Source organism: Homo sapiens, chromosome 2 (assembly GCF_000001405.40).
Source record: "Homo sapiens chromosome 2, GRCh38.p14 Primary Assembly".
In the NCBI taxonomy this organism is placed as follows: domain Eukaryota; kingdom Metazoa; phylum Chordata; class Mammalia; order Primates; family Hominidae; genus Homo; species Homo sapiens.
In genome coordinates, this window is record NC_000002.12 from 189,722,983 (window position 1) to 189,736,791 (window position 13,809).

Consider the following 13,809-nt stretch of genomic DNA (forward strand, 5'->3'; position numbering starts at 1 on the left):
GATAACTTAATTTTGAAATAAATTTTAATTATTTTTTCCTTTTAGGTAAGCCTCCCTATATAACTTCAGTGCTTTAGCAAATAGTCCTCTTGGATGTTAGCTGGGTTGTTAAGGTATAGGAGATCACAAAGGCATATTATTAATTCCAGTGTCTTCTTTACCATGTGAGCTACTCTAAGATTTCATGTATTAAAATGGCCCCAAAGTAGATTCACATACAGTTTCTTGAAAAGATGGATTTGTTAACATCTCCTTGGTCTGAGTCTCTATGTCCAGAGCAAGGCTACCCTTGCTAAGTTTGGTTTGTTTTAGGCCTTTCCTTCACCCATTTAGCTGCTTGTATGCACATTCTTATATACATATATTCATGTATGCATGCTTTCATTCCTACAATGCTTCTGATTTCATATGGTACCCTACTTTCCTGTTCTGTGTTAATAACAAAAGTTTATATGACACCACCACAGAAACTCAAATATGTAACAAAAGCATACAAAATGCTTTTTCAGTTTCAAACTGAGAAAAACTTAAAAGATCACCTCATTTTTTTTCTTGGAATGATTATTCACATATTTCTGCAGAAATTGATTTTCTCCAGACCCTTTGTGATGTTATACAATATGTAGTATTATGTACTCCTTACATTCTAAAATCTGAAAACTTTGGAATTATGACCCCAAAAGTTGTAAAGTCTGCCTTCACCATTAGTCCTCCTTTAGCCAACTCTTAAAAGTTGGAGTTCCTTAAGCTTCCATTCTTGTCATACTGCTGCTTTCATCCAGCATACTCTTCTTTACCTCTTATTCACTCCAAAGGAACTCTACTAGGTTTACAATCTATTCTTCCCAGTTCTTTATCCACATCCCTGACGTCTTCCCTGAGCTTTAGAGCTACTTTGGATTACTGAATAGCTTAGTAAAGACACTTCCATTCCTTTCAGAATTTGGGTCCAAATGAGAAATAGACAGGAATCAAATAAAGATCAAAACTTCAGCATTATTGTTGGAAAGCTTGCTTTGAGAAAACAACAAAAAGTGCCAAAAAGAACGTAAACCATGCATTTGCAATGACTCATTCTTCAAATTAAAAAATTATGTAACTCACTATTCTTCTCATGGGGAAGAATGAGTAAGGGGTAAATTTTTATTCTTAACATTTCTGAGTTGGCCATGGGTAGAGGAATTTCTACTTTTTGTACTGATTCAGGAATAGTGGGTAAGGGAAAGAATGGTTTCCCCCACACTCTCTTAATTTTATTAATCTTTCAGGGTTAACATTCCAAGTGTTACTTGAGTGATCTAACTAAAATGTAAAGTTGATCATATCTTCTTCTTTAAATTATTCAGTGACTCTCTATCACCTAGGATATGATCCATGTTTCCAGCATGGCCTATAGCCCTTTTTACTTCCCTACTTCAAGAGGAAATGACCTTCCTGTCACTCCCTTTTTCTCTGATATTACTCTCAAGTAATATTGAACTTATTGCTTTGTTCTTTACTCTGGCCTTTCCTTTTGTTCGACAAGGTCAAGGACCTTGTTTTGTTGGTTCACCTTTATTTCCCTAGTGCCTGGGACAGTGTCTAGCACATAGCTATTCAATAAATATGCATTAAATAAATGATTAGATGATTAAATGAATAACATACTCATAACAATAAAAATAGTTAATATTTTTGACATAAATTGATATAAAGTGGGTATAGAAGTTGGTATGAACAATAAGGCCTTAATAGAGAGATAATTAACCTTGATAGTATATGAAAAAACAAATGCTGGATTATAGAGCATCTAAAGGATATAGTTAGCTACATGAATGCACAAACACTTTTCTATTTAGTTTTGCTTTTGGAAATATATTGATATTCTACATAATAAAAAAATTAAATCTACAAGGCTGGGGGAAATGAAAACTGAAATAAATTGTATAACTAGATTTAAAAAGAAAAGAAAAAATGAATACAAATAATTTTAAACACAGTGCATTATATACCATCTTTCTAAGGGTAAACACAAAACAAACTACACACAGATTTTGAGTTCTTTTTAGTGAGCTTGTATGTCATAATGATATGGGTAGAACAATTCTGAACCCATATGATAAGTACCATAGGACTAAAGAAATGAATAAATGTGTTGATATTATTGGGTTCTTACTGTGCAAAGAAATGTGCAGAATGTAGGAAAACAATAAACCCTGTGGGGTTGGATTGGAACTGGAAATGTATGTGTGTATGTATGAGTGTGTGTGTATACACATACATATATATGTATACATATTTTATATATATGGATTTATACACACACACACACACACACACACACACACACACACATATATATGATCCAGAAGCAATGATATTCCAGTAGCAATGAGCATACCGAGCACCCAAATCTTGGTTTCTAAATATCATCCCTCATTAAAAGGAACCAGAGCTTCTTGGAGAAATAGTTGATTCTGGGGCAGGGGCAGAGAAGGTATATGGTGAGTCAGGAACATCATCATATGGTGACAGAAAGTAATAAAATCCTTTTTTTTACTATCTATATCTATAGGCATATCTATAGGACACAAGGACAACCTGAAGGGGCTCCCACTGGCCAAATCTTAGACAATTTTGGGTACCAACATAAGTAAGAAAATACACCGGGCACAGTGGCTCATGCCTATAATCCCAGCACTTTGCGGGGCCAAGACGGGCAAATAGCTTGAGCTCATGAGTTCAACACCAGCCTGGGCAACATGGCAAAACCTCATCTCTACTAAAAATGCAAAAATTAGCTGGGCATGGTGGCACATGCCTGTATTCCCAGCTACTTGGGAGGCTGAGGTGGGAGGATCGCTTGAGCCTGGGAGGCAGAGGTTGCAGTGAGCTGAGTTCATGTCATTGCATTCCAGCCTGGGTGACAGAGCGAGACCTTGTCTCAAAAAAGAAAAGAAAAGAAAAGAAAAGTAAAGGGTTGAATAAAATAGGAGCCTGTGCCCTCATCCTGATAACAACTGGATAAACAAGGAAACAAATAAATAGAGAATAAGGTAGGGCTCTTCCTTATAGCAGAATGTCAATTGACAAATGTGAAGGGGTGGTAGATTTGGAAAATTAGTATTTTGCAAACAGCATAGTAAAGATTGGTTCAGGCAAAAATTATAAATGGTTGCTAAATCTTGGGGGCAAATTTTGATATTTACATGGTCTTAAAGTGTTTTGCTCCTTATTAGTTGCAAGAGGGAAAATAGCAACTATACAGTAGAGAAACTGGGTGATCAAAATTAACATCACCAATGAGGAATAGATGGACATTATATAACTCCACAGAGGATATCCCCAGAACCTAATGTCACTTTTTTTTTGAAATGAGGTTGCTATGTTGCCCGGGCTGATCTTGAACCCCTGGGCTCAAGCAGTCCTCCCACCTTAGCCTACTGCATAGCTGGGATTACAGGCATGCACCACTGCACCCAAGCCATAATGTCACTTTAAAAATATTCTGGATGGAGGTGCATATCTTGAGTCATGAGGACACATCAAACAAACCCAAACTGAGGAAAATTCTCTAAACTAAATGACCCATATTCATTAAAAATGTCTATGTCATAAGAGACCAAAAAACCCCTGAGAAAAGGTTCCAGATAATAGAACACTAAAGAGACATAACTAAGTGCAATACATGGTCCTGGTCTGGATCCTGTACTGGAAGAAAGTAAATGTGATAAAGGACATTACTAGGAAAATCAACACAATATGATTAAAGTATTGCATCTACTAATTGCCTTGTAGTTACATAAAAGGATAGGCTTGTTTTTAGTAAATACACACTAGACTATTAAAGAGATAAAAGGCCACGATGTATGCACGCAACATACCCTCAAATTTAGAAAAGTAAATTATATAGATAAATGGATAGAAAAACCAATATGGCAATATATTAAAAATTTATAAATCCAGGTAAAGGTATACAGGAATTCTCTGACTTATTCTTACAACTTTTCTATAAGTTAAAAAAATGCAACTTGTTAAAATATAGGAAAATGTTTAGACTCACTAATACCAAAAATGCAAAACAAGATGAGACAGCATTTTTTCTATCAAATTTGAGCAAAGTTGATGTATTTATTTTTAATGATAATACCCATATTGAAAAAAACACAGTGTAAGTGGTTAAAAGAATATAGGAGAATGTTTAGAATCACCAGTACCAAAAATACAAAACAAAATGAGACAGCTATCAAATTAGCAAAGTTTACATATTTATTTTTAATGATAATACTCATACTCAAACACAGTAACATTGATACTTTTGAACTCTGATTATGGAAGGCTAAGATGCTATTATCATTTTTGATAAGCAGTTTACTCAGATGTACTGAGTTATTCTGGTAATTCCTCTACAAAAAACACAAAAATTAGCCGGGTGTGGTGGTGCACACCTGTAGTCCCAGCTACTCAGGAGGCTGAGGTGGGAGGATGGTGGAGGTTGTAGTGAGCTGAGATCACACACACCACTGCACTCCAGCCTGGGTGATAGAGCCAAACCTTGTCTCAAAAAAAAAAAAAAAAAAAAAAAGGGTGGTGGGGAGGGAATGTTTTAATTGTAAGTAAAAATGCAGGCTGTTGTTTTAAAATACAACTATATCAAATACATCTATAACTATCTAAATCTATCTTCATAAGAAATAGTACATGAGATTATGCCAAATGTTTGATTGTGTTTAGGTGGTAAATCTAGCCAGTTTTGTTTATTTCTATTTTTCTTTATTTTCTCTAAGCTTTTTATAAATTTGATTTTATAATATGGGAAACTAATGATATGCTGCACTTTGATATTCTTATTTTTCATAAGGTTTATTTAACTTGTTCTTAAATTCATTTGAAGATGTGTTGAAGGCTGTATCTTCTGCTGCAATTGCTGAGGTTGGGCGTGACAATAAGGAAATTCAGGATGCTATAGCTATGGAGGGAGCGATTCCTCCTCTGGTGGCTCTTTTTAAAGGGAAACAAATTAGTGTCCAAATGAAAGGTGCAATGGCTGTGGAATCACTGGCAAGTCACAACGCTCTTATACAGAAAGCATTTCTGGAAAAATCGTTAACTAAATATCTTTTAAAACTCCTAAAGGTAGGAATTTTATGATTACTGGTCATTTTTCTTAGATGATGTTTTCTATTTTGAATTGTTAAGTGAATAGAAAAACTAAACCAATTCTAGAATAAACATTTTATAAAATATGCATTCCTAAAATGTTCAATAAATGTTCACTGAATTAATGAAATATTTTTAAAAATAGGCATTTCAAATAGATGTTAAGGAACAAGGAGCTGTTGCACTTTGGGCCTTGGCAGGACAAACACTAAAACAACAAAAATATATGGCAGAACAAATTGGATACAGCTTTATAATAAATATGCTTTTGTCACCATCAGCTAAAATGCAGTATGTTGGTAAGTTATTTTCCTTATTTTATTTTTATTTTTTAGAGACAGGATCTTGCTCTGTTGCCCAGCCTGGTGTGCAGTGGCACAATTATAGCTCACTGCAGCCTCAAACCCCTGGGCTCAAGTGATCCTCTTGCCTCAGCCTCCCAAGTAGCTGGGATTACAAGTGTCAGCCACCGTGTCCTCTGCATAATGTAGAACAGGGCACTGGAGTATCATACATGTATCTTGCTTTTCTTTATCAGGAGGTGAAGCTGTCATAGCTCTAAGTAAGGACAGCAGGATGCATCAAAATCAAATATGTGAAGGGAATGGAATTGCACCATTGGTTCGCTTACTAAGAATTAGTACGATTGCTGAAGGCACACTTCTCAGTGTCATCAGAGCAGTGGGATCCATTTGTATTGGTTTGTATACTTATTCTCAATTTCTTAAATATCTGTAAGAACAAGAACAGATTGCGCAGAGAAGTGGAAATTAATCTCTCTTCCTCTCTATCCCCACTGTTTGAGCCCTAAATGGTATTTAATGTATGAAAGACTATTATAACTTTTAAAGTTTGTCTAAGAACTTGGTCAGTAAAAGTGGTATAATTAAGAATCTTATATCAGTCTTGCTCTTGAACAATGGCTAGAAAGGAAAATTAAGACAATAAGCCTTGACTATTTTGACTGAAAGCAATCTCTTTTTTAAGTTTAAGAGAAAAATAGTTCTTTTGAATCTCAAGAACGATATGTTTTTGAAGATATAGAAGAGTTTCTAATGCTGGAGCACATTCTTGAATGTCTCTGTAATGATCATTTGTTTATATAACATAGAATTCATTGCAAAGGAATTGACATTTTGGGGTACCTGAGAAAATGTGGAACTGTCAGTTGTGACCCACCAAAAGTTAAAATTTGGGTTCTTGCTGACCTTGATGAATGCAGGGTGCTGATTGTAGACTGCTTCTTGCAAACAAGAGGAAAAATCTTTATTTCCAGATCACTGAATTTCCTCAAAAATAGTCCAGCTGAATGAAGTATAATAGGAATTGATTCTCACATTTTTTTCTCTTTGCTTGCCAAAAGTTTCTTGCAGAAACTCATTCACAATTCCAAGATAATCAGCCAGAGAAGATGTTTCTTTTTTTTTGGCCAGAGACTCTGACATAAATTACAGTTATTTCTAAAGTTCTAGTAAATGATAATATATATGCAAGGTTGCCTGATATACATACACATGCACATAATCAAATTTCTTCGCATTAGTTCATTTCAAATCTGTCCACATCAGCTGTGCGTGTGTGTGTGTGTGTGTGTGGTGCGGGTGGGGGGTTTGTGGGGACAAAGGTGTTCTTTTTTCCTTCAAACTTCCCTAGATACAATATGTAGGTGACTTCTCTTCATTGTTCACTGAGAGGCTCAATCTTATATTTAACCCATTTATTTAGGGTTAACCCATTTACATAAACCCACTGTATATTTATTGTGACATTTAATATTAGCAAAAGAACAGAGTTAAAATTCTTTGTCCATGTTCACTAGAAAGAAATGAGTTTCTCAACAGGAAATTGCAAGGAGTGGAAAAAAAAAAAGAGAGAGTTGAGTCTCTCTGGTGAGTTTAGGCCTGCAATTTAAAGTAGTATGTTATAAAGAGACATAGTAAGATTATCTTGTTAGCGTGTATAATTTAAGAAACCAAGAAATTTTAACTTGGTGATTTACTCTATTCATTTTTGTAGAAGTAAACTTTTTATGGAAAACAACAGAATTATGAACTTAAGTACCTCGCACATAATATTTCTTCAATAAATGATAGCTATTAGTATTCCTTGGTAGTATAATATTTCTAATTTCCTTTGCTTTGTGACTTTTAGGAAGCCACTCACAATTCTAATAAAGTCTCCATGTTTATTCACTTTGTCTTTTAAAAAATTAATTCAGGACTATTAAAATAGTGTCAATATAGCATACCCCTTTGTAACTTACTAACTGTATTACCTTAGAATGCTTTGTCAACCCAAAATATCAAGCTATGTTTGACTTTACCATTTGTAAGATGGAAAAAAATATTACCTCACTGGCGTGGACTCTTACAGGTGTAGCCCATACAAGCAATCCTGTCAGTCAACAATTGGTTGTAGATGAAAATGCCTTTCCAGTACTTATCCAACTACTAAGAAATCACCCTTCTCCTAACATTAAGGTATAAAGGTTTACATTGTTTTCTGATATGGTAAAAATTAACAAATATAATTTTAAGAAAATTTTGTATCTTTATTCAAGTTCATAAACATAAAAATATTTAATCTTTTAAACTAAATCCTATTTTTCTTGGAGAAATAAGCCAAAAATAAAAATAAAAATAAACAAAATCCTAGAAGTTTTAAAAAGGTTGCTGCAAACCATAAGATACTAGTAAATTTTATTAAAATAGGGTTTCTTCAAATATGACAAGAAAATCTTATGTTTTTACTCTTCAAATAAGATTTTCCTCAGATATTTGATTATTTATTCACAAAAGTTCTTTTCTACCTCCCCAGACATCAGTTGCTAAAACTGGGCGGCGATAGTGGGAATGTGTGACTTATATGGGAATATTTCTCAAATATTAGTGAATCTTGTCAGTACTACACTTCAGACCAGCCCTGCCTTCTGTCAAGCAGCCTCTGTTGGCTGGAGGTAATAGTTTTCTCAAGGCTGGACATTACAAAGAATTATTGTGAGTTGTTGAAGAGTCATTCAGTCTTCCATTTACTTCTACTAAAATGCCTTTAATAAAATGACATTTACATCTATTCAAATACTCTTACCCAGGCTTTAGAAATTCAGGACATCTATAGATGGCCAGGCAAGAAATTATAACATCAAAAAAAATTTTATTTTCAAAATTTGGTATGCATGCTACTGGAGATGAGAAAATAGAAATAACATAGGAGGACAATATCTAAGTAAATAGCATTGTTTCTTTTTCTTTTTTCTTTTTTTTTTTTTTTGAGACAGAATCTCGCTCTGTTGCCCAGGCTGGAGTGCAATGGTGCCATCTCAGCTCACTGCAACCTCCACCTCCTGGGTTCAAGTGATTCTCCTGCCTCGGCCTCCTGAATAGCTGGGATTACAGGTGTGCATCACAACGCTTGGCTAATTTTTGTATTTTTGTAGAGACGGGGTTTCACCATGTGGCCAGGCTGGTCTTGAATTCCTGACCTCAAGTGATCTTCCCACCTCGGCCTCCCAAAGTGCTGGGATTAAGGTATGAGCCACTGCACCCAGGCTGTTTCTTTTTTAATCTGTATTTATTTATTTAATTTTTTTTAAATATTGAGATGGGGTCTCTCACTGTCAGCCAGGCTAGAGTGCAGTAGTGCAATCTTGGCTCACTGCAGCCTCTGCCTCCCAGGCTACAGTGATCCTCCCACCTCAGCCTCCTGAGTAGCTGTGACTACAGGAGTGCACCACCATGCCTGGCTAATTTTTTGTATTTTTGTTGGAGATGGAGTTTCACTATTTTGCCCAGGCTGTTCTCGAATGCCTGGGCTCAAGAGATCCTCCACCTTGGCTTCCAAAGTGATGGGATTACAGGCATTAGCCACCACATCTGGTGCATTCTTTTAACAAATGTGTGTCTTATCATAAAAAATGTATCCATCTATATTTCAGTACATATTTTCAATGAGTTTTGAAACTTGTTTAAATAGAACATAAATACATTTCAATACTTTTTCTCAAAAGATTCTATAATGGATAAAACATTTTGCAATAATTCAATAATCATACTTTTCAAATTCATAATGTTTTTCATAGAAATGCATAGTACAACACTTTAAAAACTTATCTACTGAGTCCCAATAATATGCAAAGTTCATTTTCCTAATGGGCTTCAGAATGTACATTAAATGGTTCCAGAACTAGAGGAGGAAAAATTAGTAGTACTATTTCTTAGTACTACTCCCCAAAGTTTTGCTTAAATTAATAGGTGCTGCAGGCCAGGTGCTTTGGCTCACGCCTGTAATCCCAGCACTTTAGGAGGACAAAGCAGGCGGATCATGAGGTCAGGAGTTCGAGGCCAACCTGGCCAACATGGTGAAGCCCTGTCTCTGCTAAAGATACAAAAAATTAGCTGGGCGTGGTAGTGCGCACCTGTAATCCCAGCTACTCGGGAGGCTGGAGCAGGAGAATCGCTTGAACCCAGGAGGTGGAGGTTGCAGTGAGCTAAGATCATGCCATTGTACTCCAGCCTGGGCAACAGAGCAAGACTCCATCTAAAAAAAAAAAAAAAAAAAAAAAAAGGTGCTGCATTAAAGCCTTACAACTCAATGGTCAGTAGTTAACAAGCAGTTCAAAATAGCTTTTTAATCCATGTCAAAAAATTAAAAGAACTTTTTTTTAATATGGAAGGGATACAACTATGTACTTAGGATAATACCTCCTTACATGCTCTGCTCGCCCTTGTTCCTTTCTCCAGTGCCCTCAAATGGAGCTCTGTGGTTGGTCCCTGAACACAGAAAGGATATTTTCTCAGCTATTAAAAATTATGAGGGAGTTGTAAGTGCAGTTCTTTCGCTAGTAAGATAACTGGAATCAATGGATTATATTTTAGCAGATTTTATAGTATCTTTCCACAATGTATTCTATATAAATGCCTGCACAATGAAATGTGTAATTTCATAAAGCATAATTGAAAAGTAATTTCTGAAAACCACATGTTTAGGTTGAAGTGGCATTTTCCTTGGCATGCATTGTCCTAGGGAATGATGTGTTACAGAAAGACTTACATGAAAATGAAGGATTTGAATATGCTGATGTCCTTTATCTTCTTCACTCAACAGAAAAGGTAATACCTTTACAAAATATTGAGGTTCATTTTGAAAAAAATGGTTTTTATACCACATCTTCAAATTATCAAGTCTTCTTCATGGCAATATTCAATGTATTGTTTAAGAAAAGACATGTAAAAGATCTCTTTGTAGGTCATTAGTTTGTAATGATGTAATAATACAGCTCCATATTTTTCTGAGTTGTCCCACTTCATCGTTGAAATGCAGTAATTTTAATGTTTGGTGATGAGTCAAAAAACAAATCTCTTATGTCCCAAATCAAACCTTTACAATAATTTTATGCCCTTTCAGCCCTCAGTCATTCACTTATCCAATATGCTAAAGGGGTGCTTCTCAAACTATTTATGATGAAGAAATAGCTTTTTCCCAGCAATCTATTATGGAAGGATAATTTTTTTTAACTTTAAAAATTTTGAAATAATCTTAGACTTTCCAAAATTCTGGTATATCCTTCATCTAGTTTTCCCAAATGTCAACTAGAACATTAACATTGATACAATACTATTAACTAATTTGCACGCCTTATTTAAATTTTGCCAGTTTTCTCAGCAATGTCCCTTTTTTGTTTTTTTTATTTAATTTAAAAAATTATTTTTATTTTTTTCAATGTCTACTTTTGTTCCAGAATCTAATCGGGGTCTCACATTACATCTAAATGTCTTGTCTCTTTAGCCTCCAGTTTGTGAAGCTCAGCCCTTCTTTGTTTTTCATGATTTCATGTCTTTCATGATTTTGACATTTTTGATGAATTCAGGCCAGTTATTTTATAGAATATCCCTCAATTTGACCTTGATGTTTTCCCCTAATTAAATTGAAGTTACACCTTTTGGCAAGAATATCACAGAAGTGATGTGGTCTTCTTCACTCACCTTCCCAGTACATCATAGCATGAGGTATATAACGTTGATGTATTTTACTGGTAATCTTAATTTTGATTACTCGGTTAAAATGGGGTCTGCCATAGTTCTTCGCTGTTTTTCCTTTTGTAGTTAATAAGTATCTTAAGGTGAGACACTTTGAGATTATGCAAATATTTTGTCTTGCATCACACTTTTGCTCACCAATCTTAGCATCCATTGATGCAACAATAATAAATGTAACATTTGCCTAAGGGCAATTAAAAAAATTCCCTTCTTCCTTCTACGTTTATTAGTTGGTATTCAACTATAAAGAAGATTTGTTTCTTTTCAATGTTTATTCTCAGTTTTGTTATCCCACTGTTAATGATTTTGTGGACTGTCACTGGTCCACGGGCCACACTTTCAACAGCACTACCCTAAGGAAATGAGAGCTATTTTCTACAGGGCATTTCACAACCAGGAAGAAAATTGCCAGCGACGTTTCTCTCAGTTCTGTAAGGTTTTAGAGGGATCAAGGAGGGTCAGGAGGTGGGTGGGAATTAAGTCATGTTATTTTTTTAATACAAAATTTTATTCTACTGTGGTACACAAAAGAGAAGTGCTGCTATAAAAATATGGGAAATATTTTGGGAGGTCGAGGTGGGCAGATCGCTTGAGATCAGGAGTTCGAGACCAGCCTTGCCAATATGGTGAAACCCCATCTCTACTAAAGAGATAAAAATTGGCCGGGCGTGGTGGCACATGCCTGTAGTCCTAGCTACTTGGGAGGCTGAGGCAGGAAAATCACTTGAACCTGGGAGGTGAAGATTGCAGTGAGCCGAGATTGCATCACTGCACTCCAGCCTGGGTGACAGAGCTAGACTCCATCTCAAAAAAGAGAATATATATATATATATATTTACAGTAGAGTAAAAAAAAATATATATATAAAATATATATATATGTGGAAACTAATAGGGTGAGGAGACTAAATGAATGTCTACCTGACTCTCTAAGCCACCTTTTGCCCCTCTACTCTGTTCCTTCTAGCTTTTACTCCCATTACCTTACTCCTCATGTGCACCCTTCTTCTCCCTTTTGTTACACATTCCACTCTCAAGTATTCTGCCTTCCTTCCCAGTTTGTTACCACCTGCTTCACTCTCTGGACCCTGCATTTGGCTTATAATAGATTTATTCTTGTGCATCAGTTCTACAAATGGTAGGGAATCTTAGAGAACTAGAAGGTTTAACCAAAGGATTTATCCGGCCTTGGCTGAAATTTTTAATTCTAACACTCATCACAAGGCAAGTTAAAAGTCCTCCAGGGTTTCTTGTACTATATTTTGCCTCAAACTACCTGCCCTGCAGAGGCACATTAGTGCTCTTAGGGCTTTAGAGACAGTACTGAACAACTATCCTTCATTAAACCTATAGTGGGAGACTTCAGATTACACAGGTGTGTTGTAGAAGTTAGAGGGGAGGGAGGGATGTTCAGCAACATTAAATATGTCACTGAATGAATAGCTATCTTATGGATAATGACAGGAATGCAATAAAAATTAAGTCAGGAACCCAGGTTCTTGTAACTCCTAGCCACATTGATACTGTCTACATGGAGATGCAATAGGTTATGTGTTGTTTTTAAATTATAATTTAACTATTTTCATGCTACCAAACTAGAATAATATATGAAATGGACCATTGAGATTGATTTTCACAAGCCACATAAAATTAGTTGCATTAATTTAGTTACTGTTATTCTACTCTTTTTAATTAACTCAAATATGTGGGCTAATTAATTATGAATATACTTTTGAAGAGAGGTTAGTGAGCATAATTAACAGGCACTCTTTTCCCATTTATAAATCAGTGGGTATAAAGTAACAATAAGTAACCAGTGGGTATAACCACCCTGGTAGATAGGTAAATGAAAATATATATGAAGTAAAGAGTTTAAGACAGTTGACATTGGGGAAGAAAAGTATGGAAACACATGTCTTTCCTCAAGCATTAATTTTTAGCCTTCTGAACTGGGAATAGCCAACTTGGTTCTTGTCCTGTATCTGATACTACCTGGCATGGTGGGAGCAGTCAAACTATGGGATTCATTTTGAAACATTAATAGCCACTTTATAATCTAAACTATTTACTGTAGACTTCCACAGTGATACCGCAGGAGTGAACCCTACATGGAAAAGAAATGGAAATCAGTCAAGTCTTAGCATATTTCTCTCACTTCGCTCTATCTGACCTTGATACACAAAGCATGCCCCTTTGGTTCATTTCCCATTGCCACTCTTTCCTACTTGGCTCTAGGTTCTATTTTGCTGTCTGTTAATCCACGCTTTGACTATGAATGAGACCTAGTTTCTCAAGCCTTTGACTGTACCTAATACCTTTCTTTTTGCCTATTTAGGTGACTGGGTTTTGTGTGTGTGTGTGTGTGTGTGTGTGTGTGTGTGTGTATGTGATTTTTATTATGGAAAATTTCAAATATATATAAAATGACAGGGTAGCATAATGAACCTAAATGTTCCCACCCAGCTTCAGCAGTCATCATCTCATGGCCAATCTTATTTCATCTATACATCTACTCATTTCTACTAAATTATTTTTGATGCAAATTTCAAGCATCATATAATTTTATCTATAAATATTTCAGTATGTACATGCAGCATTTTAATATTATGATTAACAGTGGCAGAAGAAAATTCAGG

At 35.4% G+C, this 13,809-nt stretch overlaps 1 protein-coding gene across 24 annotated transcripts in view; it reads left to right on the plus strand.

Annotated features, from left to right (window-relative positions):
• The window catches only part of ANKAR (ankyrin and armadillo repeat containing), an 88,390-nt gene that overhangs the window by 48,313 nt on the left and 26,268 nt on the right, over positions 1–13,809 (plus strand). For 12 of the 24 annotated variants that reach the window (XM_011510676.3, XM_011510681.2, XM_011510677.3 and 9 more), the window contains 5 exons: positions 4,841–5,115; positions 5,285–5,438; positions 5,678–5,839; positions 7,513–7,619; positions 10,125–10,247. In XM_011510676.3, the coding sequence (XP_011508978.1) occupies positions 4,841–5,115; positions 5,285–5,438; positions 5,678–5,839; positions 7,513–7,619; positions 10,125–10,247 (821 nt within the window). Of the gene's footprint in view, positions 1–2,897; positions 3,021–4,840; positions 5,116–5,284; positions 5,439–5,677; positions 5,840–7,512; positions 7,620–7,956; positions 8,136–10,124; positions 10,248–13,809 lie in introns of those variants that run through there. The other 12 variants (NM_001378068.1, NM_144708.3, XM_047443451.1 and 9 more) reach the window with 9 other exon arrangements.